Here is a 25,322-nt window from a genome sequence, read left to right on the forward strand (position 1 = left end):
CAAGCCACGGCTTCCCCATTTCTAAATCCTGATTCTAATTCCAATCCACAGCCAGAAAATTAAAAAATAAAAGATGTTATCACCAGCTGCTGCCCCACGCATACTCTGCAACCCCACAACATGCTGAAAAATGGAGAACATCTGTTTTAAAAAATGAAAGCATCAATTACTATTTTAAACGGGAAGAAAGGGAACAGGAAGTAAATATGGTGACAAGTGTATTTTTATTCATGCATCTTGACAGCCAAGGTAGGGTCTAGTGCTGCTTTAATAATCATCTTCCTGTAGTAGAAGATGGTTCAAAATACCATAACTTTCCTACTACTCCCTTTCACCTGGCAAAATCCTCGTCTTCCAAGACACCTTCCCAGACAACTCCAGTCTGCAGCATTCTCTCCCTACTCCCAACTCAGAGAGATTCTCTGCCCTCCCGCATCTGGGTGGCTCTCCTTCTGGTGACTCATGTCATGATTTAACATAAGCACCACCCAAGGCCCCAGAGTGTGGAGAACAGGAGCCTCTCTGCCTCAGGTTTCTGTGTCCTCCACCACATCTCATGACAATCCCGTCCCACTGGCTACAACAAAAAATCTAAAGTCCTTGGCCCGACACTCCAGGCCTCCCCACCATAGCCCCACACTCTCCACCAGGTCCTCTCTCTTTCTGGGGATGCAGTCAGACTGGCCGAGTCCCTGTCCACCACCTCCACCTTTTGCTCTCCATTGCTTACTTTTTTTTTTTTTTTCCTTTTTGAGATGGAGTCTTACTCTGTCACCAGGCTGGAGTGCAGTGGCGTAATCTCGGCTCACTGCAACTCTCACCTCCCAGGATCAAGTGATTCTCCTGCCTCAGCCTCCCAAGTAGCTGGGACTACAGGTGCGTGCCACCACGCTCAGCTAATTTTTGTATTTTTTTAGTAGAGACGGGATTTCACCATGTTGGCCAGGATGATCTCAATCTCTTGACCTTGTGATCCACCCGCCTCAGCCTCCCAAAGTACTGGGATTACAGGCGTGAGCCACTGCACCTGGCATTCCATTGCTCACTTTTGTGGCCACTTTCCCCTTATATTTGCCATCTCTATGCTGTTATCAGCTTGCTTTTCACATACCCACCTCTCGCTATTCCTTCAGGCCAACTTATTATAATACCCCCAAGTCCTGGTCCCCAGCCAATACATAAGGATCTATTTCCCCCACTCCCCTCTGCACCCCTCATCCTGTGCCTAGCAGAAAACCCAAATCACACAAGCCACCCTCTGAATGGGTAGAGCTTGTCTCTTCAACTGGATCGCAAATTCCTGGAAGGCAGGATACGTGTCAAACTTGCTTCTTTTCCTTTCTCAGATTGGGCATGAGTGGAGTGGAGCAAAGGCTTGGAGTTGAGGGAAGGCGGAGTGAGAATCTTGCCCCAAAAGTTTAATGTGGACTTTCATTTAGTAGTTATATCTATCTGACAGCTCGCTAACTTTGTATGGCAACACTTTCTTATTTGTCTTTTCATTCATTTTTCTTGCTGGGAAAGAAAAAAAAAAAGATAGTTAAAAATTAAATCCAAAACTTTCAGCTCTGATAAGATGAATTTTCTCAAAAGCCAATAATTCCACATGGCTCATCTAAAATTAGAGAGAAGTGACCAGGATTTTTAGTTGACTGGCTTTATAGTAGATGCAAGATAGTCAAAATCTATTTAAATGACTTTCTTAGGGAATTGGAGCAGCAGGCAATGTATCAGATGCCAGAAGTCCATTTAAATATTACACTAAGGGAAGGGAATTAGTTTGGTCAAGCTGCTAAAATGAATAGGCAGGGACAGAAATGCCCTGGAGAAGTGCTGGGTATTTCATCTTGAATCTATTTGAAAGATAAACACATTTATTTACTAAGTTTAGTACTTCAACTATTTTCTGGAATCGGTATTTGTACAAATCCAGGCCGAGCTGGCCAACTGGAATTAAAAAATGACCAGGACTAAAAAATTAATTTGACACTCCTCAATTTCCTTGTTTAGAAACACAAAACAAAGTCCTATTGAAATTGGAGATATATACAATATTTCAGTCTACAACTGGAAACTGCTGCTGTGCACCGGCAAACAGCAGCTCTCAGCTCCTCCAGCCCCAACGTGCTTGCCATGGCGGTCCAGGCTGCAGCTGTTTATGAGCTTAAAATGCAAACATGCTAACTTTTTTCTTCTGCAGGAAAAACATGTATTCCCACTGACACCTACTGCTGTCTTACAGATGGGCCTAACGCTGAGATTTCAAACATTTTACAGGAAATACACGGACCCACACTCCCTGAGCAGGCCCCGTGCTACCCAGGCACTTTTTAAATTGCTTTTCCAGTAGGATCCCAGGAAAAGGTTCAGTTTTGCCACCACCTGCACAAGGCCAGGATATGACTGGTTTGACAATCTCTAACCTCTGCATTCCTGCAGGGGTCCTCCGGGTAACTCTGCCCCCCACCCAGTTAGTGACCCCTTATGGACTCTGGATTGGGTGTTTGGTAGCCTGAGTTTCCTATGGCCAGCAGAGGCAGGAAGACCACACAGTATCAGACATAACATCTCACAAGATGAGGTGTGGCACAACATCCCAACTGTGCTGGAAACTGGGGCTGGCTGGTGAGGATGTCATTTAATGGATGAGCAACTCACCAGCCGGTTTCATTATTGAATGCCTCCCTCTGGCCCCTGAGTAACGGAGCTCTCGCTGGCAGGCCTGGCTCTTCCCCATAGTTCTCAAAGGTTATAGAACCCCCTTCTTCCCTTGTAAACTCTTTCAGCAATAGTCTTCCCTGCTCCCCCTATATTGTCAACACATCATAGCTGAAGCCTCAGTGGAATACCCCATCCAATTTCCCATAAAATGGGACATGAAAATAAACACACATATTGTATGTTGGTTTACATTTCCTGCACAGACCCAGCAGGGGCGACAGGAAAGACATTAAGGAAACTATTTCTAAAGCAATGGGCTACATTTTAGCCAGAATACTCTCACTGACCCTAAAAAGAAAGCCATTCAGATGGCTAAAATCCCATATAATTCTTTGAAAACGCTCTTCAACATTCCCATTTTAATTTCCAAAATCAATATGGCTTGCTAGTGCCCCATGCTCCAAGACAACAATTCATATTGATGGGGAGGAAGGGATGAACATTTTTCTATTGAATGGAAAATTTGGTTATTTTTAAGGACATTATTCCAAGAGAGAAAAAGGTCTTAAGTCCACTGCACCTGACAGAGTATTCTTTTGTTCCTAGAAGGCTGGTTTCTCTTGACATCTCTGCCCTCATTAAAAAAGCATATCACAGTTGTCACCTTTATGTTTTCAGTCATGCAGTTTCAAGCCCCAAAACAGAATGTTGTCATTTATTTTTCTTCTGAAGAAATGGCACCCTGCTCACATGCATGCATGCTCAACGCCAAAAATCCGAGAGGACATTCCTGTAGCACCTCTCTAATTCAGAGCACCTGGCAAGTCTGAGTTAGCGAGTTGTCTCAACCAGGGGATAGTAAAGGCTATTTTATGTCTTCCACGTATATTCACTAACTAGGTAATAATCACTTGCCATTAGCACATGAAAATTGTGCGTAAGTGGTGCTGCTGAAGAGCTAGAAAACAGTTTGTTCTCAGGTAGGTAAATGGTCCCTCCTGCAGTCTTGTTCACACTGTTAATTTGCTGAGCAAACCCTTTCCTCAAGGACTGTGCAAACACCGGTTTCGGGCTCCATGTTAAGGAAGCTCACAGGCAGTCCTCTGCCCCCTTGAGACGACAATTCATCTTCCACCACAACAAAGCCATTTTGCCACACCTAAGAACCAAAAAAAAAAAAAGAAAAGAAAGAAGCATTGCATGTAATATCATTGTCTCTATCAGCCATGGCCTTCCTTTGGTAGGGGCAAAATATTAGTCTCACACTCCAGCCACAAGGAGAAACTTGACACATCCGAACATTAAACTTCCTTCCAACCCTGCCCCCAACATGCCTGCCTTGCTACCCTAATTCTTCCCCCTCTCCCACCCCCAAGTTTCTGCCTATGAGGAGAGAAGGGTGAGGAAGTGCGGATGTCTGCTTCAGGGTGCTATTTGGGGTTTCATCTATTCATGCTTCTCACTTAGCACCCACTTGCCATGGAGGGGCAAGATGAGCCTGGGACCACTACCTTTGAGGGTTGGCCAAGAGTGGGCACCCTGGATCAACTCTTCTCTGGCCTCAAAGAGAAATTTCCTCTTTGCCTGCTCTTCCCTGAGGATCTGTGCTTACTCTTGTTCCAAGAGAGAAACTTGACAGACCAAGATCAGAGTGTGGGGCTAAGGACTAAGAGGACTATTAGACTGCTTTGAGGCTGGCTTTGAACCGGAGGGTTAAGGGAATCCTGAGACCCATGCTGGTGCAGCAGATTCAGCGGGAAAAGGAGTTTCACATCGAGCATGGGGTCAAAGCCCTGTGGAAATCAGGAGGCCTTTGCCAAGAGCACATACTCTGCATGTCTTTCTTGAGCCTGATCTGGGATTGTGTATTTGGGATTTGACTCATCACAAATAACCTAATGAGTGAAGAAATGTCCAAAAGCAGGTAAGTGGAAATGTGGAACATAAGAAGCTGAGATAATCCACACACAAACGACAAGTCCCCAAATGACTATGGGTTGCCTATATGTACTCCAGACATTTTCGTAAACTAAGAAGAGTTAAAATTGACCCAAGACTTTTGCCCTTCCTACATTGCAGATAACACAACTGCAAATATCTAATGCCTTTAGTAGGGATGACTGAAGTTGACATTATAGATGTAGTAAGATCCATGCCCCAAGGATGTTAAGATTCACTGTCAGACAAATAATCTGTGTTAGCTCTGATAAGAAATCCACTAGAGTAATTGGTTCCAGGGTCATGCACCTCCCCACCCCTTTGAAGAGCAGAATCCTACTTCTGGAGACCGTGAGATGGGGGCTGAACTGGAGAACCTCAAACAGAAGTTTGAAGCTTCCTGGCCAGGCGCCGTGGTTCACGCCTGTAATCCCAGCACTTTGGCAGGCCGAGGTGGGCAGATCACCTGAGGTCAGGAGTTCGAGACCAGCCTGGCCAACATGGCAAAAGCCCGTCTCTACTAAAAATACAAAACTTAGCCATGCATGGCGGTGGGTGCCTGTAATCCAAGCTACTCAGGAGGCTGAGGCAGGAGAATCCCCTGAACCCAGGAAATGGAGGTTGCAGTGAACGAAGATAGCACCACTGCACTCCATGCACTCCAGCCTGGGTGACAGCATGAGACTCTGGCTCAAAAAAACAAGAAACAGCAATAACAACAACAACAACAAAGTTTGAAGTTTCCTGCTTTATTTAACATTAATGCCAATTTTGCATTTGACTCCATCATGTAATGATGATCTTTCCATTAATTACATTTTCCTCAAAAATTCATAAGTAAAATAAATGCTCCATGAAAGTTGCCATGTTTATCCTACAGCCCAGGGTTCACCCAGGATACCACCACCTCACTCGACACTCCCCAGTTTGAGAAGAAAAGCAACAAGGGAATGAAAGTACAATTCTGAATCTTGGAAGGAGAAGTGAAAAGAATGCTTATCAAAGTAGGGGAAGACAGAAAAGAAGAATTTTTTGGTATTTTTCCCATAGTCATTTTCCATAACTGCTGAGTCACTGCTAGAAAATGGTTAAAGTATTATGTTGGCTTGTCATGAACTTTTCCATCAAACTGTGTTCATTTGGCAAAAAGTTTTCTCTCCTAGGGACCATCAGAACTTGGCTTAGGAACAGGCTCTCCAAACACCTTGAGAACTTCATGCACATAAGTGCAACTCCTTGATCCCTTAATACATCTAAATTCTGATGAAGTCAATGAAGGTGTCAGAGCAAGACACAAAATCCTCAAGGGACTACCACCAACTTAGCTTTTCCAGTTCACATGGAGATGTTAACTCCACTTATCAAAGAGAAGTACAAAAAGGCACTCAATTATGAAAAGTAGAAACCAAAATGAATGATATTGTGAGTTGGCCTCAGCTGGGGTTTCCTGAATTTATTACCTTAGAAAGTTAAAAATTGGATCTGCCTCTTCCACCCAATATGGTAGTTGGTGGAAAGTAGCGTCTCAGAGCAAATCGCCAGAGTCATGGTGGCCTCCTCAAAGAGGAACAGCTACGCAAACCCCACCAACGCAAAAGGAGAAAGAATAATCACTTGGAGAAGCAAGTTAATGAAATCATGTGTGTAAAGACAAGTAAAATTTTAATACTATTATTAGATAGTTTGATATATGATGAAATCAAGAGGGAAAGACTTAGAGATATGAAAGAAAGGGGAAGTCAGGAGGCCAGGGAGGACCTGGGAGGCCAGGGAGGAGGAGTAGGGAACGGTAGAAAGAATGCAAAGCCCAGAAGAAAGAGAACAGAAAACACAGGAAGAGAAGTAGATAGCGGCTGAGCACGGTGGCTCACGCCTGTAATCCCAGCACTTTGGGAGGCCCAGGTGGGCCGATCACGAGGTCAGGAGATCGAAACCATCCTGGTTAACAGGGTGAAACCCCGTCTGTACTAAAAATACAAAAAATTAGCCAGGCATGGTGGCATGCACCTATAGTCCCAGCTACTTGGGAGGCTGATGCAGGAGAATCACTTGAACCCGGGAGGCAGAGGTTGCAGTGAGCCGAGATTGTGCCACTGGGCAACAGAGCAAGACTCTGTCTCACCAAAACAAAAAAAAATTAACCATTTTGGGGGAAAAAAAAAAACTAGTACTAGTATAAGCCAGAAACTTCAGAAGATGGACCTTCCACTTGAATTGTGGTTCAGTCCACCTTCTTGAAACAAAACAGTAATGATTTTGTTTCCATGGCCACATCTTCTGTCATGATTTGATTTGCGGGAAGAGTTTACAAAGATGTGATTGTACCTAGCAAAAAGTATTGTCAACAGATTTACTTATTAGAGTAAGGAGCATCATTTTCTCTATTTCATGCCAAAGTTAGGCATTGAAGCAAACCTCTCTCTCTCAAAAATACACACACGGACACACACACACAGGAGCACCTACACATACATCACTCTCTCTCACACCAGCCGGATATTCATGTCGATACCAAGTCCCAAAGCCTCTCTCACCTGAGTTTCCACCATCTTTCTTCCTTATAAGCTTCAAAGCTGCATACGTGATGTAGGAAACCAACTCTCACTTGCCATATCAAAACACAGCCAAGGCCAGGCACAGTGGCTCATGCCTGTAATACCAGCACTTTGGGAGGCCAAGGCAGGAGGATCAGGAGTTGAGGAGTTCAAGACCAGCCTGGGTAACATAGGGAAACCCAGTCTGTTCAAAATTTTTTAAATTAGCCAGTTATGGTGGCATATGCCTGTAGTCTTAGATACTTGGGAGGCTGAGGTGGGAGGATCGTTTGAGCCTGTGAGGTCAAGGCTGCAGTGAGCCATGATTGCACTACTGCACTCCAGCTTGGGCAACAGAGCGAGACCCTGGATCAAAAAAAAAAAAAGTTTAATGGGGCCAATACATAGGCTTCTTTTAAAGAGCTTCTGGGCTGTCAGAATTTTAGGGTTCAAACAAAAACTACATTTGACTTACAGGGTCCTTCTTCTCCAGCGTCCTGGTAAAGGAGACAACAAAACAGCCAAAAGGTAGACAGACCCTGGAGAAGAGGTGTAAAGAGCTGGGAAATCCTCTAGTCCTGACTAATTGAAAGTAGACCAGGGATCCCTGTGTTCTATGAACCCTCCACTGCAATTGGACAGTAGGCTCCCTGAAAAGGCTCAAGCACTGCTCAGATCATTCCAAATTACAAGGGGGAAAATCCCTTGAATGAAGAGCTCAGTGAGCAATCCCCACCTATTTTAAAGTGTAAGGACACCACCAGAAACATGAAAATCTTCCTCCCACTCTTGTTCTTAGTCACTTGAGCCCACTACACTCATGTGCGTGGATGCAGAAAATAAAAATGGCCTGCAGTCCCTTGAAAAACTTTCCTTAATCTTGATGTTACTTTAAAGCCATCATAAATCATGCAACCTGCCAATCTTGTTGTGTTTTATAAACTGTGGGAGCAGTAGAGCATTTCTGGCCCAACGATCTCCTAGTAACAAATGCCAGTTCTAATGCCACTGCATTTTCTCAATACCACTTGACCTCTTAAACAAGGCCCTACAAATATATTAACTGTCATATTCTCAATTTCTTTTTTTACAATGGGAAGTGATATTCTCTTATGACTAGCCTGATGGAGCCAAAGGCAGCTTCTTTCTGGACATTGAAAAAATACCCAATTGTGGTACGTAGGCCTTTCCTGCCTGATAGCTACCACCCCTAACACTCCTGAGTTATCTCTTCCCTATAAACCCCTAGGGTCACACCCCACAGGCTCTCCAGGTTCCTGCTGAATCCCAGCCTGCCCATGCTCCTTGATGGCATCCAAATCAGTGCCAAAACCAAGCCCTGAAGGGGGACACTCTGCATGGCCTTCAGGATCAATGGAAAAGGCAGAACCCAGGCGAGCCGAGGGCCTGGCTTGCCTTCAGGAAATTCCGGGCCGTCTGCAGCAGCTGTGCTTCGAGTAGTACAACAAATTCACTTACTGAATGACAACAGCTTTATTGGCAAGCCAATTCAATTAAAGCCCCTGCATCCAACAAAGTCTCCGGCAGCCCTCTCTGCATAAAGAACATGGAATCGTGCCTACATTTCCCTGAGTGCCCTCAGCCCTAGCTGTCCCTCTACATGAGAGGGAGAGGGATGAATGAATTAGACACGGATGATGGTAATTAATGGCTGGCTGTCAGAGAGTCATTTTGGAGGCTCAGCCGTTGAAGGCTCCATATTAAAGGCCGGATCCCAGCACAAACTGACCAGGACAGGCTAGAACTCCCTCTCTAAATGGTAGGAGTGACGTGGGCACCTGGGGCAAGAAGGGAGGGGGAAGCAGGAGATGGCGAAGGAGGTTTAGAGGGGAAGTAGAGAAGCAAAACAACAGGCTGCTTGCGTTGATCAATGCTTTTTACACTATTGATATATAAATAATATGTTCATTTTTCGTTTTTACAAAATATGTCCTTTAGGCTACCATTACGGCAAACTGACTTCAGAGTTCTGACATGAGCTTATTAGGGGGCGGAAAGGGAGGGCTGCCTGTAGAACTAGAAACAAAACACATTTTCTCATAAAATATACATAGCAGATCATTTTCGCCTTCAGTAACAAAGATAAAATCAGGGAGTTTTTTGATCCCTGGCACAGTCTCGCCAGCCATTCTTTTGGTACTTGGAGAGGCCTTAAGGAAGAGGGGATGGAGGATGGATGGAGAGGGATGGAGGAGGGGCACCAAAGGGAAGGACATGGATAACAAGTGGGCTCCAGCTGGCTCATTTCCATGAAGGTGGGCAGCCCTCACTCTGCCTGCCGCCAGTGCCACCAACAGAGCCAAGTGCAGGTTAACTACCTAGCGGGAGATAACTTGGGTATATTGTGGTTTAATTATTCCTGATAGTAACAGGTTACCATATGCACCATTTGGAGCATAAACATAGGCCACATCCTAAGGGCCAACCTGATCCTTCTCCAACAATTCAAGTCGGGTGAAAAGCTAGGCTCCCGGCTCGTTCTATTTGTGCAAGTCCTAGTCTTAGAGGCCACAGGGCCTGAGCTTCCACCCATGAAATGTGGGGAATTCTGTGACTATACTAGAATGAACTTCTTATCTCACTCCCATAGAGGACAAATTCCAGAAATTCCATTCAGAAAATCTGCCTCTCTGCTCATGGCGATCCTCCAGAATGTTTGCCTAGAATCGAACTTCAGAATTAACAATTCAGAGCAAATGCCAACTCCACCAGGAAGCTTTCCCAGATTCTCTCAATAGGAATAAATTACTTCCCTGTTACATTCCTACAGAACCCTGCATGTGCCTGTATCGTGGTCTTTAATTCATTTCTTTTACACCATAGTCTCCTCATGTGCCTTCCCTAATAGATAAGAGGCTTCCTGGAGCCGGGGTGTGGGCTTTCTATAGAGCTAGTGCTCAATAAATCTAAGCAGAATTGAACTGAATGGCCCTTAGGAAATGGAAATAATTTGGCAATGCCTTAGTCTTGGAAAGTTGTATAGGGCCTTATTATGACCCTGCAGCCATCAAGATTTCACTGCCGCTTTCTTCATTGCAGCCACCAAATTAGTTGCCCACTTTAATTAGAACAGAGGCCAGATGTCTGGCCAGCCCTACTAGAACCGGAAGAGCTAGCAAGCTGGTGGAGTTTCCCAGCTGGGGGCCCAAGTGGCTGGCTTCATGTGGTTGGGTCACCTTCCCTTGCATACTTCCTTCCCTCTTGACTCCTTTCTCCCCCACCCCCATCCTGAGGACAGCTGTCCCTTTTATCACCAAAGCCCTTTCCTGACAACACATCTGTCCAGCACAATGTTTCACACTGTCCCATGATTCGGCTACCCAAGGCATTTGCATCTTTGATCACTGCAAGGGCATGAAACACTTGTGTCCATAAAGAGCCAGCAGAGACAGGGTATCCCCTTTCTGAAGCCTACCATCCACTAAGTAATGAAATCTAATATTTAAAGGGCATGACACCCGTTTATACTAGATTTCATTAATCAATGTTTCATGGAAGGGATAAATCCTTTATGCATGCCTTTTTCCTGATTTTTCCCCCATTTAAAAAATGCAGTGCTGATTTTTCTTCCCTGCTATTAGCTCACATAGACCCACTACTGTGCACCCTTGTTCCCAGCCTCCCAAAACTCACCCTTTCACATTCACTCTGAGGTCATGAAGTTCAATGGAGAAAACAAAGGGGTAGAATGAGGGACAGAAAGGTGTTCTAGTTAGTCTTAAGCATGTTTCATTAAATAAAACCTTCATAAACCCTAAAAAAGAATGTCATTGTAATTACAAGCTCATATTTGGCATGCCAGTGGCCAATACATCCAGTGCCTCCAAAATATTAAGTAGAGGGTCACAGCTTTCATTTGTACACTCACTAAGTGCTATATTACTGACATTAAAGAAGACAAGAATGGGCCGGGCGCGGTAGTTCATGCTTGTAATCCCAGCACTTTGGGAGGCTGAGGTGGGCGGATCACTAGGTCAGGAGTTCGAGACCAGCCTGGCCAACACGGTGAAATCCCGTCTCTACTGAAAATACAAAAAATTAGCCAGGCATGGTGGCGCGTGCCTGTAATCCCAGCTACTCAGGAGGCTGAAGCAGGGGAATCACTTGAAACTGGGAGGTGGAGGTTCCAGTGAGCCTAGATCATGCCATTGTACTCCAGCCTGGGTGACAGAGCAAGACTCCATCTTGAGGAAAAAAAAACAAAAAAACAAAAACAAAAAAAGACAAGAATGGTATTCTTATTACCACCACAAAAACCCACACCTTAGGTGAAGTTCAGGTAAATAGGATATCACAGATATCTTTCCTGGAGGATGTTGACCAAAGAATATTCCGATTGCCTTGTTTAACACCTTTGCACATAGGCTCTTGTGTACCTGCATATGGCAGTGAAATTGCAATAAAGCAATAACAACCAGCACCAAAGCAAGTAAGTATGTTGCAAAGGACAGAAGAGTCCTAACACCACCACAAGACCTCTGAATGAATCACAGGTACTTTTAAGGTGTCTGAATGCCTATGACTGTGGTAATACTCATAATGCTACATGTTCTCCTCAACTTATGGAATAGTGAAGACCCAATAAATTGTTAAATAATGCCCCATTTTCCCACTGTAATTGTTCTATAAAGCCCCTTTTCCCCATTAGTTTCAAATGCAATGTCTACTGTTGAGCAAATATCCTGGTTCCTGAATGACACTTTTTAAAAAATGCAACAAATAATACAAATATGGAAAAACAATATGCACATATATGCCCATTGCAATATGACTTATAACAGTGGGAAACTGAAAGCAATCAAAATGATTACAGTAGGTAAATGGTTAAGTAAATTATGATACACAGCCATGGACCTTCATGTAGCCATTAGGAGGACAAAGACTACACAGTAACATGGAAAAATGCAAAATGACACATGCTAAGTGGGAAAAGAAACTGGAAATAGTATGACACTGTGGTTACAACTAGATAAAAGCATACTTATTTTTTAAAAAGGCTGGAATGAAATAAACAAAAATAATAACCGTGTGAGGGATCATGAGTGATATTATCCCTTATCTTTACTTCTCGAAATATCCATAATGCTCTGTCTTTATGATGCAAAAGAAATGGAAACCTAGCAACTCTTTAAAGAACTATTATTTTTTAAGTAGGCATAATTTTGAAATAAAGAACAGTAATATGCAAAATATTCTAACTATAGTAAACCCAAATTAAGATGTTTCATGTGGAGACAGCTACCCTGGCAGGATGAGTATCTCCCCACACTACTGCTTGCAGAGCTAATGCACATCCCAGGTAGCTTTCCATTGACACAGAGTTATAGGCCTCTTTCTAGATATTTTCATTTCACCTGAACAGTTTATTTCAGTATCACTGGATGGGAGAAAGCAGCAGTGGCAGCAGGGAAACAGGGCTGGAATGTCAAGTGCCTGCTTCAATATAAAGGCCAGTTGTCCAATAGGCTGGCTGGTGACTTGGCAGCTGCAATGAGGCTGTTCATGGGTGGACCCTGGAATGGCCACAGGGAGAGAGATACGGAGCCAGGAAGAATGAGCCTACCAGTTTAGAAAAACTCAAATCTTGGCTCTGCTACAGAAGATCCCAGGATACTAAAACAACTTGCAGCTTTGACCTGAGATCCGCTGTGTATGATCTTTGAAGAGTTAAGAAGAATGAGAACAGAAGACGCAGGACATTGGTGGGGGTCCATTTTATTTTCTTTTTTCTTTTTCTTTTTTTTTTTTTTTTTTTTGAGATGGAGTCTCACTCTGTTGCCAGGCTGGAGTGCAGTGGCATGATCTTGGCTCACTGCAAGCTCTGCCTCCCGGGTTTAAGCGATTCTCCTGCCTCAGCCTCCTGAGTAGTTGGGACTACAGGCACCCGCCACCACGCCCAGCTAATTTTTTGTATTTTTAGTACAGACGGGGTTTCACCATTTTGGCCAGGATTGTCTCGATTTCTTGTCCTCATGATCTGACCACTTTAGCCCTCCAAAGTGCTGGGATTACAGGCGTGAGCCACCCCGCCCAGCCAATTTTATTTTCTTCTTCCAAATGTTACCTCCCATTGTTCCAGTGGATCATGCATACTTCTTGGCCAGAATCCATTCCCAAATGAGCACCTCTGCGTCTCACAGAAAAGAGTGTACCTAAAATTTAGTTCATGGCAGCTGGAAATAATTTACAAGTATTTGCTGACAATAAATAACTTCCTAAATTATACAAGGAGACCTTGAATAACCAAAAGTTATCTGCATGATATCCCACTCACATAGGTACACTATTTTCACTTCACATTAAATTTGTACAGGTAGCACATTTCTTGTATCACGAAACCACCTCTTCTATAGTCTTCGGTGAGTAGAACTTATGTTCCCACATAAGCTATAAATGCTAATAATTTTTTAAGACAATGGTCTCCTCCTAGGAATTGGCTTTTTACCATAACACTTTTGATGACTTTATCAACCCTGGTGTATTAAAATATTCAAATTCAAATTCATAAGCATAAACTATCTAACACTGGTCTGTGAGTCTACTCCTAAGACTAGCTCTTTAAGCTGTTACAGCCACTTTTATATGCAACCTGAGTACAAGACAATATCATATTCAGCTTGGAAGCCAGACCTTATAAAGTGTGAAATCTTTTAACACACCATAGGAGTGCGCAGAACAATTATAATAAGTATTGCACATATTTTAAAATATGACTCTTTTGCTGACCTCTTCCTCATCTCAGTGTTTTTGGTCTCACTTCTGTGGTCTGTACAGTAAGTTGTTTCAGCCATGTTCTTCCCAGGGAAACGATAGGAAGAATGAGCTCTTCTCCCAGGTGAAAGTCCTCGTCAGCACCTGAATCATGGAGAAGTAGACATAGGATAGCAAGAAAAGGCAAGAAGTGTCTCCTTGGAACAGTGATTTATTTTGTCTTTAATAAGCAGCAACACAGTACCCATACTTTTCTTGGCATGAGCAGAGTTTAGGAAGTTACTTTCATTTCTGAAACAGGCACACAGGTGCCTTCTCACTCTGCACTCACTCCTGCATCCCCTACTCTGTAACTTCCCCCTTGGACTCTCAGGTTTTTGCAAGTCTGCCTGAAACAGCTTTTTAAACCTACTGTTAAATCAAGTCCTACCCTTCGCTACAGAAATCTCAGCCCACCCAGAGTCAAGGAAGAGGGTTATTGCAGAAAGGAGGCATTAAGTTGGAAGGATACTTGGGGAGCCTCTAGCCTAGTGGTCGTCAAACCTGAGTGTGTCTCTGAATCAACGAAGGAGAAGATGCCCCAGCCCAGAGACTCTGATTCAGCGGATCTGGGGAGCAGCCTGGGAATATATATACACACACAGGACATTCACACACACACACACACACACACACACACACACACACACACACTCTCTCTCTCACGTAACTTTGTCACAGGTGGCCCAAGCACAGCACTTTGAGAAACACTGCTGTAGTTCAATATCCTCTGAGGGTCAACGCAGTTGCCCAAGACACATGAACCATTGGCAGTAGAGTTAGGAGTAGCATTCAAGTCTGTAGACTCTTGCCACATCCTGCTGCCCCAGGGAGCTACAGGAAAAGCAATTACAATGGGAGCCTGGGCAGGAGTGGGGGTGGGCACTACTCTCCCCAGTGGATCCCAAAATGTTCAGTGGCATTTGAAGCCTAGAGGAGCTACTTAGTGGAGTTGGTAAGAAGTCTTAATTCCACCTTTAACCATGCCCGTGGCTGATCTTGCTCACAGAAGCCACAGCAACAAAACTCTTTTCTAACCACCTGCATTTGATCCGCTATCTACACAGAATTGGGAAGCTGGGGCTGGCTTGGAGAATCGAAAATGCAGTCCCAGCTTCACAGGTGCCAGCCATGTGTGAGCACGCCACTCACCCTCCCTTAGGCTTCTGTCTGTTCATCTGCAAATGAGTCTAATACCTACCCTGCCTGTTTTTCTGATTTGTTGTGAGGATCAAATGAGATCATAGGATGTTCTTTGAAAATTAAAACCTTCCAGAAGTGTCAGTTCTTGTCTAGTATGCACAGACTCCTTATGAATCTTGGGCAAACATAGAATGAATCCTCTTCTAAAACAAGAATTACACAGAACAGAGTGTCTCAAAACTACCATCCTAGCTCATATTTTCTAGGAAGCCTATAGCCATTCTACACAGTGTTAATGCGGACCTGTGCTAAGCAGACCAGAAACAATGAAGGCTTTAGGAGGCATTTCAGGACACGTTCAGACTTGGACCCAGCGGCTCCGTTGACTCCCCACACCCAAGACCCACAGCCACAGGACACGGGCTTCTCTGGTCCACTTAGCCCTCGTCAGCGCCAACAGTTCTAATGATTCCAGGGTCCTTCGATGGCCCTCCCGCCCAGCCATCTAAACACATGATGCTGAAGGCACTTCCTGTGCCTCCTCACCAGCCCTCACAAGCGCATTCCACGCAGGATTCCAAATAATCAATTTTCTGCCTGTAGTTGCATGTTTAGAATGAGAAAAACTTTTCAGACCTTTGCTTTTTATTCCAGATGGAATCTGTTTATAGAAAAACCAGAGCTCCCTTCAGGGGCCACGGAGGGGTGGAGGAAGGTTGGCAGAGGGGGCTTCTGGGAAGGCTTTGGGGCCCCAACTTCCTCTTCAAATAGAGCAGCTGCACTTCTACCTAATTGGGCTTCCACAGAAGGCCTCATTTTGCTGATTTTTTTTTTTAAATGCATGAAAACTAGTCATCTAATCCACAGCTTTGTAGGTGAAGAGATCACACTGGAGAAACGTTAACTGATTTTCCAACTTCCTCCTTCAGCCACTTGTAGAAGAAAGATGGAAGATCCTGTCTCTATAGAAGGCCTTCCTGCCAGGGTCCTCGGTCTCAGCCAAGGCGCCTACTTCGGGCAACCCCTGGGAGGGGCTTCTCCTGCCCTGTCCCCCACCTAGAAGCTCACAGTAGTGATCACGTCCTGTCCCACTTCATCAGCGCCTCCCTGGGGCCTCTCCTGGGCTCTCCAACTAATACCTGGGTCGCATCCCCAGGGTTCCTGGCCTCCTCAGGCTGCTTGTTTGGTCCTCTGGTTTCCAGATAGCATCAAGTTTACAGAATCAGCTCCACTCCAAGAGTTCTTTCAAAGGACAGTTCTCAAAAGAAACATATTAATGCCTCTGAAGTGGCACCAGGAAGCAAGTCTGAGTAATGCACCCTAGTTGTCACCCCTGGTTGCCCCTCAGGGCCCAGGCCTGCTGACTCTCCCTAGCTCAGGATGTGTTTGCAGGTCTCCAAGGCTGTCCTCCCAGAAGGTGTAAGCGGAAACTTGGTGCTCTTTCTGGACAATGTCCAAACCCATAGCTGAAGGCCCTGGCAAAGCTTCAGGTTGTTCTTCATAGGCTCCTACCATAGGGTCCAGAGATGCAGATGGAGACTGAGTTCCCAGCTATCTACAGACATGATACTGGTGTTTTAAGAGACGACACTGGGTGGACCTTAAACAATGACTTGGATGTCATACAGGGAGGAGTAGTATTTAGATATAAAAAAAACTTCCAGAAATTTCTTCTTCCTTTGCTACAGGCTGTCTCTGTGGTCTACTCTCTCCTCACCCCACCTCCCAGCCAGAAGAGGAGTACACAAGAGAAGGCCAGGGGTCTGCAGACTGAGCCTTTTTCCACAGGACAAATTGCATCTCTCAAATACCTGATAAAAAGTCTCCAGGTGTCACCAGCATCTGTGGTCTCCCTGGTACTTAAGTAGCAAGCCCAAGGACTTGGCTCACAAAGAGGGGATCCAGAGATAACAGGGTGGTGTTCACCCCACAGTGTAATGTCCCAGCATCTGTCACATGTTAATAGGTGCTTTGTTTTTGACAGGGATCCTTGAACCAGGGTTCCTTGGAGAGAATGGCTGATTCCAGCTCTGGGGGTAAAATAGAGCAATGTAATCCTAGGACATTGTGAACCAAAAAGTAAGAATGTAACCAAAGATTAATAGATAGGATGAGGCAAGGAGAGGAAATGAAGAAAAAGCAAAGGAAAGAGAGGGGGAGGAAAGGAAAGGGAGCGGTTACAAAGGACTTTTGATACCAATTAGTAAATACGCACATAGCATATGGAGTGTTTATTAGATAACATTATAATATCTATGGAAAATTTATGAGACATGAAAATAGTATTATGGCTATGTACAAAAATGTCCTCATTCCTAGAAAATATAGCCTGAACTCATGTGTATGTGTGGTGTGTGATGTGTTGGTGGGGTGCGTGTGTGTGTGTGTGTGTGTGTGTGTGTGTGTGTGTGTGTGCATAGACAGGAGAGAAGGAGAGGTAGAGATTGAGAAAGAGGTAAAGCAAATGTAGCAAAATGTTTATTGGTGAATGTTGGTGAGTGCTGTACAAGTGTCCATTGCACTAGTCTTCCAACTTTTCCTTAGGTTTGAAATTTCTCTGAATAAATACTGGAGGGGTAGGAGAAGAGGTTTTGTACGGGGGCAAATGTACCTTGATGGGAATAAAGCTTAAGTGTCACCACCCCTCTCTAGATGGGGCCCTTTCAAGGCCTGGTTAATGAGGGTCATCAGTTTAAAGAATAGGTGAGATAAATTACTGCACCAGAAAACTCAGAACATTGTGAAATCTTACAGCTCACATATGAAGGAAACTTAAGAGATGTCCCAAATTTGTCAACAATCCTAAAACTTCACATGATAGTACCAATAACAAGCAACAAAACTGACCTTTTCTTAATTATTAATAACAAAAAATAAATTTTCATCAATCATGTTAGGGAAAGACTAAATTAGGTTTCTAGCCTCTTTGTAGAAAAGATTTCCAAATTGTTGTCATATGAAGAGGTGAGCAAAGAGTGCAGAGCTATAAAATATAGAAGGAAAAGTATTATAGAAATATGTCAAGCAATTAATGAGTAAAAATATTACATTAGTTTTCTAGATTTTGTCATGTTTGTGGCATTTATCAGTGTTTTAATAACTGTATAACTTGTTATTTATTTCCTCCTCTATAAGAATTCACTTTCATAGCCTCCTTCACCCAAATGTGTATGCATTACTTCCCAAATACACTGATCACATAAATACATACACACATACATACATACATACAGCTTTTTGCTCTACAGCAACATCTTTTGTGCTTAGGGTTTTTTGGAACACATTTTGGAAAACAGTGCCCCAGGACAAAGTAGTCTCTTCTTATCCACCCATGGTAACGTGCACTTTAGCATTTGACCTCCAGGAAGATGTTTATTTGAAGACCTTATTTAAAGCAAATAAACCATATATTTGCTTTAAATTGATGACAGTCTTATATTTACAAACATTCTGCTTTATACAGCCACATTCATTAACCCAATTGAGTCTTGAACAGCCCCGTTAGGGAGACAGGCCAGATCAGAAAGGTTAGCCCCAGGTCCCACTTAGCAAACACCCACCCCCTCTAGCCTCTGTTCGGTGCTGTAACTTCAGTGTTCCACGTGAGTAAACTGAGGCACGGTGGTGGAGAGTAACTTTTCTCAGAATGAGGTATAGGATCTGGGCTTCCATTTCAGGAGTTACTGTTCAATTGTTAAGTGATTTTAAAAGATTCGATGTCTGTGGACTGCCTGTCCTTTCATATCTTGTGCTCTGAGTAATCAGCTCTACCTGGAAGAGAGAAACAGAAGCCTGGCACTCACAGAGGGGCAGGAGAGAGAATGAGTATGAAAGTTCACCCCTCTTCTTCTCCCCAAAGTGAAAACAGCTTGTCTTTGCCCCAAATGAAAAGAGTCAGACCTTGACACCTTAAATTACAGATAAGTTCCAAAACCAAAGAGGTAGCTCTAAACACTGACACCAATTTTCAGGGAGAAAGGCAGCCACCCCCGGGTCCCTCCTCCTAACTAACCATCCCTTATCAGTAGATCAGGGACCAGACATGGTCTTCCGGACCATGAAAGATCTGGAAAGACAGAGCCACATCAGAGTGCTGGCTTTGCACTAAATCCTCATGCTTCTATGTGGAATTCAGCAGGAAGAAGGGAAGCCCTTCTTATTTACTATAACAAAATAGTAAACACTTCCTCTAACACTGGGATAGGAAGGTTTCATCAATTCACCGTGGCAAGGGGTACAGATTATTGTTGTACTTTGACTCATTCCAATAAGCGAGTAGCCGAAGCTGACCCCTGACCCCTGTGGTTGGGGGTCATCCTCACTTCCCCACCTCTCATCCCACCATTACCCCAACACTCAGGACCAGCTGCACAGAGCCCCCACAGAATGAGAGGGAGGTGGGGAGGAAGAAACGACAAGGTTGGGGATAGCGAATACATGGGTTGGTGAGATGATCACCCTCAGATTCTAAAATAGGCCAAAATGTAAGAAACAATAGTAATTATACAGGCGATACATTAATTTATTTTCATTACACTATTTAAACAATATGGAAGTTTATTTAGTTAAAATCGGAGTTCGCTCTTCACTTCCTTTCCTACCATAACTGTGAATACCTCAGAGGGTGTCCTTTCAGATTTTACATCTGCATGACATGCAGATATATGCATGTAAACAATTTCGACCTAGATGGGTTTGAAAGTCCCTGCCCCCAAGATCATGGCTGGAAAAAAATGACAAGGGAACATTTCTAGAAAAGATAGAAAATGTCAGAGACCAGAGACACTGCTTCATCCCTAGTCATGGTGCCAAGGGACTTACTTTACATCAAATTCCCTGGAACCAGACTCTGTGTCAGAGATTGTGGTACAGAGCAATTTGGGAAACACTCAGGAACAACCCCTGTCAGGGAAAAGGGAAAGCAGGAGGAGGCAGGTGAGGAAGTTGAAGTGTGGTGCGGTTGTAACAGAAGCTTCCTTCTTCCCTTGGGGAGCTCTGGAGGTGGGTTGCCCTTCTGAGCTGTTCCAAGTTACAGCAAGGGAGCCCAGCTTTTCTATTCCTAAGTCAACTAATTGGCTGCAGGGTCCCCCGGAAGAATGGGAGTAAGATTGGGTAAGGCCACTGCCTTCTGCCAGGGCTGGTTCTAGAGAAAGACCAGCTGTGGACCATCAGCAGCTGATTCTCCCTGGGCAGCTAGCACAATGGATGCCTTGGTCTTGAAGCGGGGATCTGGGATGCCCACCACAGCCTCTACCACTGAATTCTCAGATGTTTCAAAACATTTTCTCAGAAAATAGCATCTCTTCCAGAAAGAATGAGGAGTAAATGGGGTAGGAAGGAAACTTGTTAAGTGAACAGATAAGAGGATGTCACCACCCCAGTGTTGACACAGCTCCTGGATCTGAATGGCAAGGCTAATACCAAATGTCCCCACAACTTCCTAGAATGTTGCACTATGCCATATCCTGGGCAACGCCAGCCTCAGAACCACAATTACAATCGCCAATAAGACAATAAGAAATGACTTTCCTTTCCCTCCTCTTTGGCCCAGGTTGTTGAGTTCTACTGGACAAATTCTACCTGTGTGTTTGGAAAGAAAAAAACAAAAACTTTCTTTTCTTTATAAACAATAATAGAGCAATGGAAAGCTTTCTTGGAAACCTCATTGTTGCATCAGGCACAAACCTCCCAAGGTGCATGCTCTCAGCCCTGTGCCACAGCCAGCAGCCACACAGACCCGGAGCTCCTGGTGCCCTGCTCACCTGGCTGTTTTCTTTCCTTCTGGACTCAGCAAGAATGCCCAGCTCCAGCCAAGAGCTGAGATCCCAAGTGTCTGGGGTCAACATTGGTAGTCTTTGGGTGACATGTTCAAAGTATCACATCGATTTTGTTTTCCTGCAAACAATCATAATGAACATCCACTGAAACCTTCCTAAACCAGGCCTAGGCCAGTGTGCTTTCCTAGGAAACCTTCCCAAGTTCCTTCACGGAGGATTTCTATCCAGCAAGAAGTGTTCAAAATTGTCCTTACTAATCTCAAAATAACACCATCATTATCAGTACTCATGGTGAAAATGGCCAATAAACGTACCTCAGGGTCTTGGGCTCCTGCTCTACAAAATGGGACGCTGCCTGTCTGCACTAAACTTTGCAGAGCAGGTCAGAGAATAGACAGTGCCTCCTGCAGCACTTGGGAACACAAACTTTGTAAACAAAAAGTAGAACTAACTGACCAACCTAGCAGCATGACCTTGTCCATCCATTCTAGAATATGAGAGATTTCAATTGTAATGGTGCAACTAGCACAGAATAAATTATTGTATGTGTTAACTCAAACACAGGGGCCTTTTTCCCGGTAGCTTCATATAAATACAAAACTGCTTTTGAGGCTCTAGGAAAAGATGGTCAGGGAAGGGTTGTTATTTAGGGGATTTATCTTTAAACACCTTTTTTCCACACTTTTTAACAAAGATTGGTAATGCTTGGCCAATTTTCCACTTGCCAGTGACTTACAGGAAAATACTACAGAAAAACAAGGACCAAAGGGTCCCAAACACCTCTGCACCTATTTCTCCTGCAGAAATCTTGCATTCAAAGTGGGGATACAGTATATGTCCTACATCACAGTAGCTAACACCTGCAGAGCACTGACCCGGACCAGGAACTATAATGAAGCCCTTCACATGATTAAGTCACTTCATCCTTACAATTACCCCAGTTTACTATTGTTATTCTCAATTTATAGATGAGAAAACTGAGGCCCAGAGTGCTAAGCGACCTGCAATCAGCAACCCAGGAGTCTGTGTACTTAATCATGATGCTATCCTGCTTCCAGAGTGGAAAAACCTGACAAGGAGTGCTTTTACTTTGAATCCTTTAGTTGTCTTTATTTTCCAAATTCTCTTTGAGACAGGTAGAACCAGAGCTGCCCAATCCATGAAAACACTGGACCTCCATGACTTAACTGAGTCACAAAATTAATCAGTGATGGAACACAGAATGGAACCTAATCCAACACGTAGCACAGATCCTTACAGTTCAGCCAAGCAGACAGAAAACTCAGACTGAAGACAGACGTCTGCTCCTGATCAGAAGGCAAGCAGACCCACATGCTGGACAAGGGTGAGAGGTGATTGCTAAGCTCAGCCAACAGTAGCCCTAAAGCATATCACATCCTCCCTCTATTTCATCCTGGGCAAGGGTTTGAACCTGTCTGGGCCTCCTTCTAGGAGCAATGACAGGAGTCAATACATTTCAAAAACAAAACAATAATGGACATTTGCACTATCCTTAATCATTTCCAAAACATTCCAAATGCATCATCTCATTTAGTTCTTCTAACAGCCCTGTGAAGAAAGTTTTATGGTATTCATTTTAGAGAGATAGAAACTGAGGCTCACAAAAGTTCTGATTGATCCAGACTCACATAGCTCAGTCTTCATGCTTGATCCCACGCTGTCTCCACTATGTCCTTTCAACTGTTTTCTGGTTCAAGATCCAGCGGTTGAAGGTCAAGTTCAAAGAGAAGGCTGGGGAAATCTAGACCTAGACCATCAAACCAGAAACTGCTCATCCCCAGTACTTCAAATATATTATTACCAAATGCAAGAGACTGTTGGTTTTTATTATTTAACCAAACAGGATCTGTTCCATGCACATTCCCACTGCTAATCAGACATGGTGAATCACAAAAAGACATTGTTTTCCACGTTTTTATCTGTTTGCCTGATTCCTGGCCCACTGGTTAAAACTCTGAGAGACCCTAAGATGCCAGTGGTCAACTTGTGCAATCCAAGTATTATGTGATCAAAACACTGAACTGCCCTAATACAGTGTTTTTGTTTGATTTTTTTACTAAAACACCACTGACCCCCAAAAGATAATGGCTTTTTCTTTTTTTTTTTTTCGAGATGTCACCCAGGCTGGAGTGCAGTGGCGCGATCTCGGCTCACTGCAACCTCCATCTCCTGGGTTCAAGCAATTCTCCTGCCTCAGCCTCCTAAGTAGCTGGGATTACAGGCGCCTGCCACCACATCCGGCAAATTTTTGTATTTTTAGTAGAGATGGGGTTTCATCATGTTGGCCAGGCTGGTCTCAAACTCCTGACCTCAAGTGATCTGCCTGCCTCGGCCTCCCAAAGTGCTAGGATTTTACAGGCGTGAGCCACCGTGCCAATATATTTTATGTTAGTAAGTCATTTATTTCTCCCAACAACCCTATGAGATAGTCACTATTGTTATTTTATTGTTTATCTTACAGATAAAAAAAATTAAGACACAGAAAGGCTCAGGGACCTGCTTATCAGTGTCAGAGCCATGATTCAGGTACGGGCATCTGATTCAGGACTCTGCTCCTAACTGCGGACTCCAGAGAGCTTAGTAAGAACTTCACAAGCAGCAGTTCTCTAGGATTTGACTGGAGGGTTTGAGGATAGGAGTTTTGTCGTTTTGTAGGGTTAATTTTTTTTTTTTTTTTAACAAGGTCTCACTCTGTCGCCCAGGCTTGAGTGCAGTGGCTCAATCTCGGCTCACTACAACTTCTGCCTCCCAGGCCCAAGCAATCCTCCCACATCAGCTTCCCAAGTAGCTAAGACAGCGGGGACCACAGGCGTGCACCACCACACCTGGCTAATTTGTGTATTTTTTGTAGAAACAGGGTCTCACCATGTTGCCCAGGCTGGTCTCAAACTCCTGACCTCAAGAGATCCTCCAGCCTCAGCCCCTCAAAGTGCTGGGATTATAGGCATGAGCCACTGCACCCAGCCTTGTGAGGTTAATGTTTTAAGTTTCACTTTCCTTTTATCAATGAAGTTTATCACCATATCTTATCACTACAGTTTTATTCTTTTGGCTCATAAAGAGACTCCTCCCTCTCATTAAAATACAAATCTTGGAAGGGCAATGTCTAGAACCATTATCAGTAAATATCTTAGTTCTCAAGTAACGAATTAGCAGAAAATGGAAATGAGCCTCTGTAGAGACTTGGCAATACCCAAAATGACAAAATGAAGGGAAAGGATAGGGAGATGGAAGGTTCCCAAAACCAAATGCCACCTTTCCTCTCTCCCCTAGCTCTTTATGGCACAGTGCACACCTGTATTAATGACCACTCTGCTTACCAAACAGAAATCTATGGAAGACATAAAGATGGATGGGTTAGTCCGGAGATGCACAGCCTGGCTCTCAACTCCTCCAGGCCAGGCCAGCTGCTGTTCTCCTCACATTTTGGCCCCTACAAGATTACCCCTACTTCTGATATAAAGACATGTCATCGTGTCTCAAGCGGCAGCTCTCCCAATCTTAGCGAGGCTCAATCTTGCAACCTTTCCCTTAGCCAGACCCAGCCTCCCAGAGACTCTGAGAGAGGACCCCCACTTCTCCCTCAGCAGCCACTGCCATTTACCCAATACTTATTTCCTACTTCTTGGTAGTTTATTGTATCAGGCTATCTTACTTCCATCTGTCTGAGTCAGTCAAGTACTATTTTGAAGAAGGCAAAGTAGTAATTCATATATCAGTAGGTAGGTAAACATGGAAATCACACCAACAACAAAGCCAGAAGCAATAATGATAACAGTAACCACAACAGTGACCATGTGTGGAATGCTCCTGTATGCCCTGTGCTTTACATAGCTGATTTCATGTCACTCTCTCAACACACCTTCGAGGTAAGTATGCTTTACAGATGGGGAACTGAGGCTCGGGAATTTAAGTAACATGCCCACCTCAACCAGAAAGTACTAAGGCCCAGCTCCATCTGTGGGGCTGTCTTTCTGCAAAGTTCAGGCTTTTAATCCACTAGACTCTAGCCTAGACTCTTTAATCCACTCTACAACCAGGCAGGCTTTGGTTAAAGGAATTGATGTATTTCTTTGTTTTCCCCAGAATACTTGCTAAATTGATGTACTGCTATTGTTAAGAGTTCAGTCAACTACAAAGATTGAAAGGAGAATCCTCACAAGGCTTCCCTCATTTCAAACACTAGCTGCAAGTTTGGGGGTATCCATGCCATCCTCATGACACATCAGCTGGCTACTAATTTGGGAGATTCACACAAATACCCTCAGGTTTGATAATTCACTAGAATGATTCAGAGAACTCTGGAAGGCGCTATGCTTGTGATTTTATTATAGGAAAAGGATACACATTTAAATCTGCAAAGAGAAGAGACACGTAGGGCGGAATCCAGGAGGGGTCTAAAGGCAAAGCTTCTGAGTTTCCTCTCCCCATAGAGTCGTGGATGGTGTTGCCTCCTCCTGGCCACAGTGTGAGACAA

The 25,322-nt window shown here is 44.1% G+C and overlaps 1 long non-coding RNA gene across 2 annotated transcripts in view; it reads right to left on the reverse strand.

The window, feature by feature from the left end:
• Positions 1 to 3,187: 3,187 nt before the first annotated feature.
• Positions 3,188 to 25,322, reverse strand: part of MIR4432HG (MIR4432 host gene) — a 32,160-nt gene continuing 10,025 nt past the window's right edge. Inside the window, exons 2-4 of one of the 2 annotated variants that reach the window (NR_132991.1) lie at positions 22,474 to 22,592; positions 13,881 to 14,009; positions 3,188 to 3,820 (exon numbers count right to left, since the gene is read on the reverse strand). This is a non-coding gene — a long non-coding RNA (MIR4432 host gene). The remainder of the gene's footprint in view (positions 3,821 to 13,880; positions 14,010 to 22,473; positions 22,593 to 25,322) is intronic. The other variant, NR_132992.1, reaches the window with a different exon arrangement.

This window comes from Homo sapiens, chromosome 2, assembly GCF_000001405.40.
Source record: "Homo sapiens chromosome 2, GRCh38.p14 Primary Assembly".
Classification (NCBI taxonomy): Eukaryota; Metazoa; Chordata; class Mammalia; order Primates; family Hominidae; genus Homo; species Homo sapiens.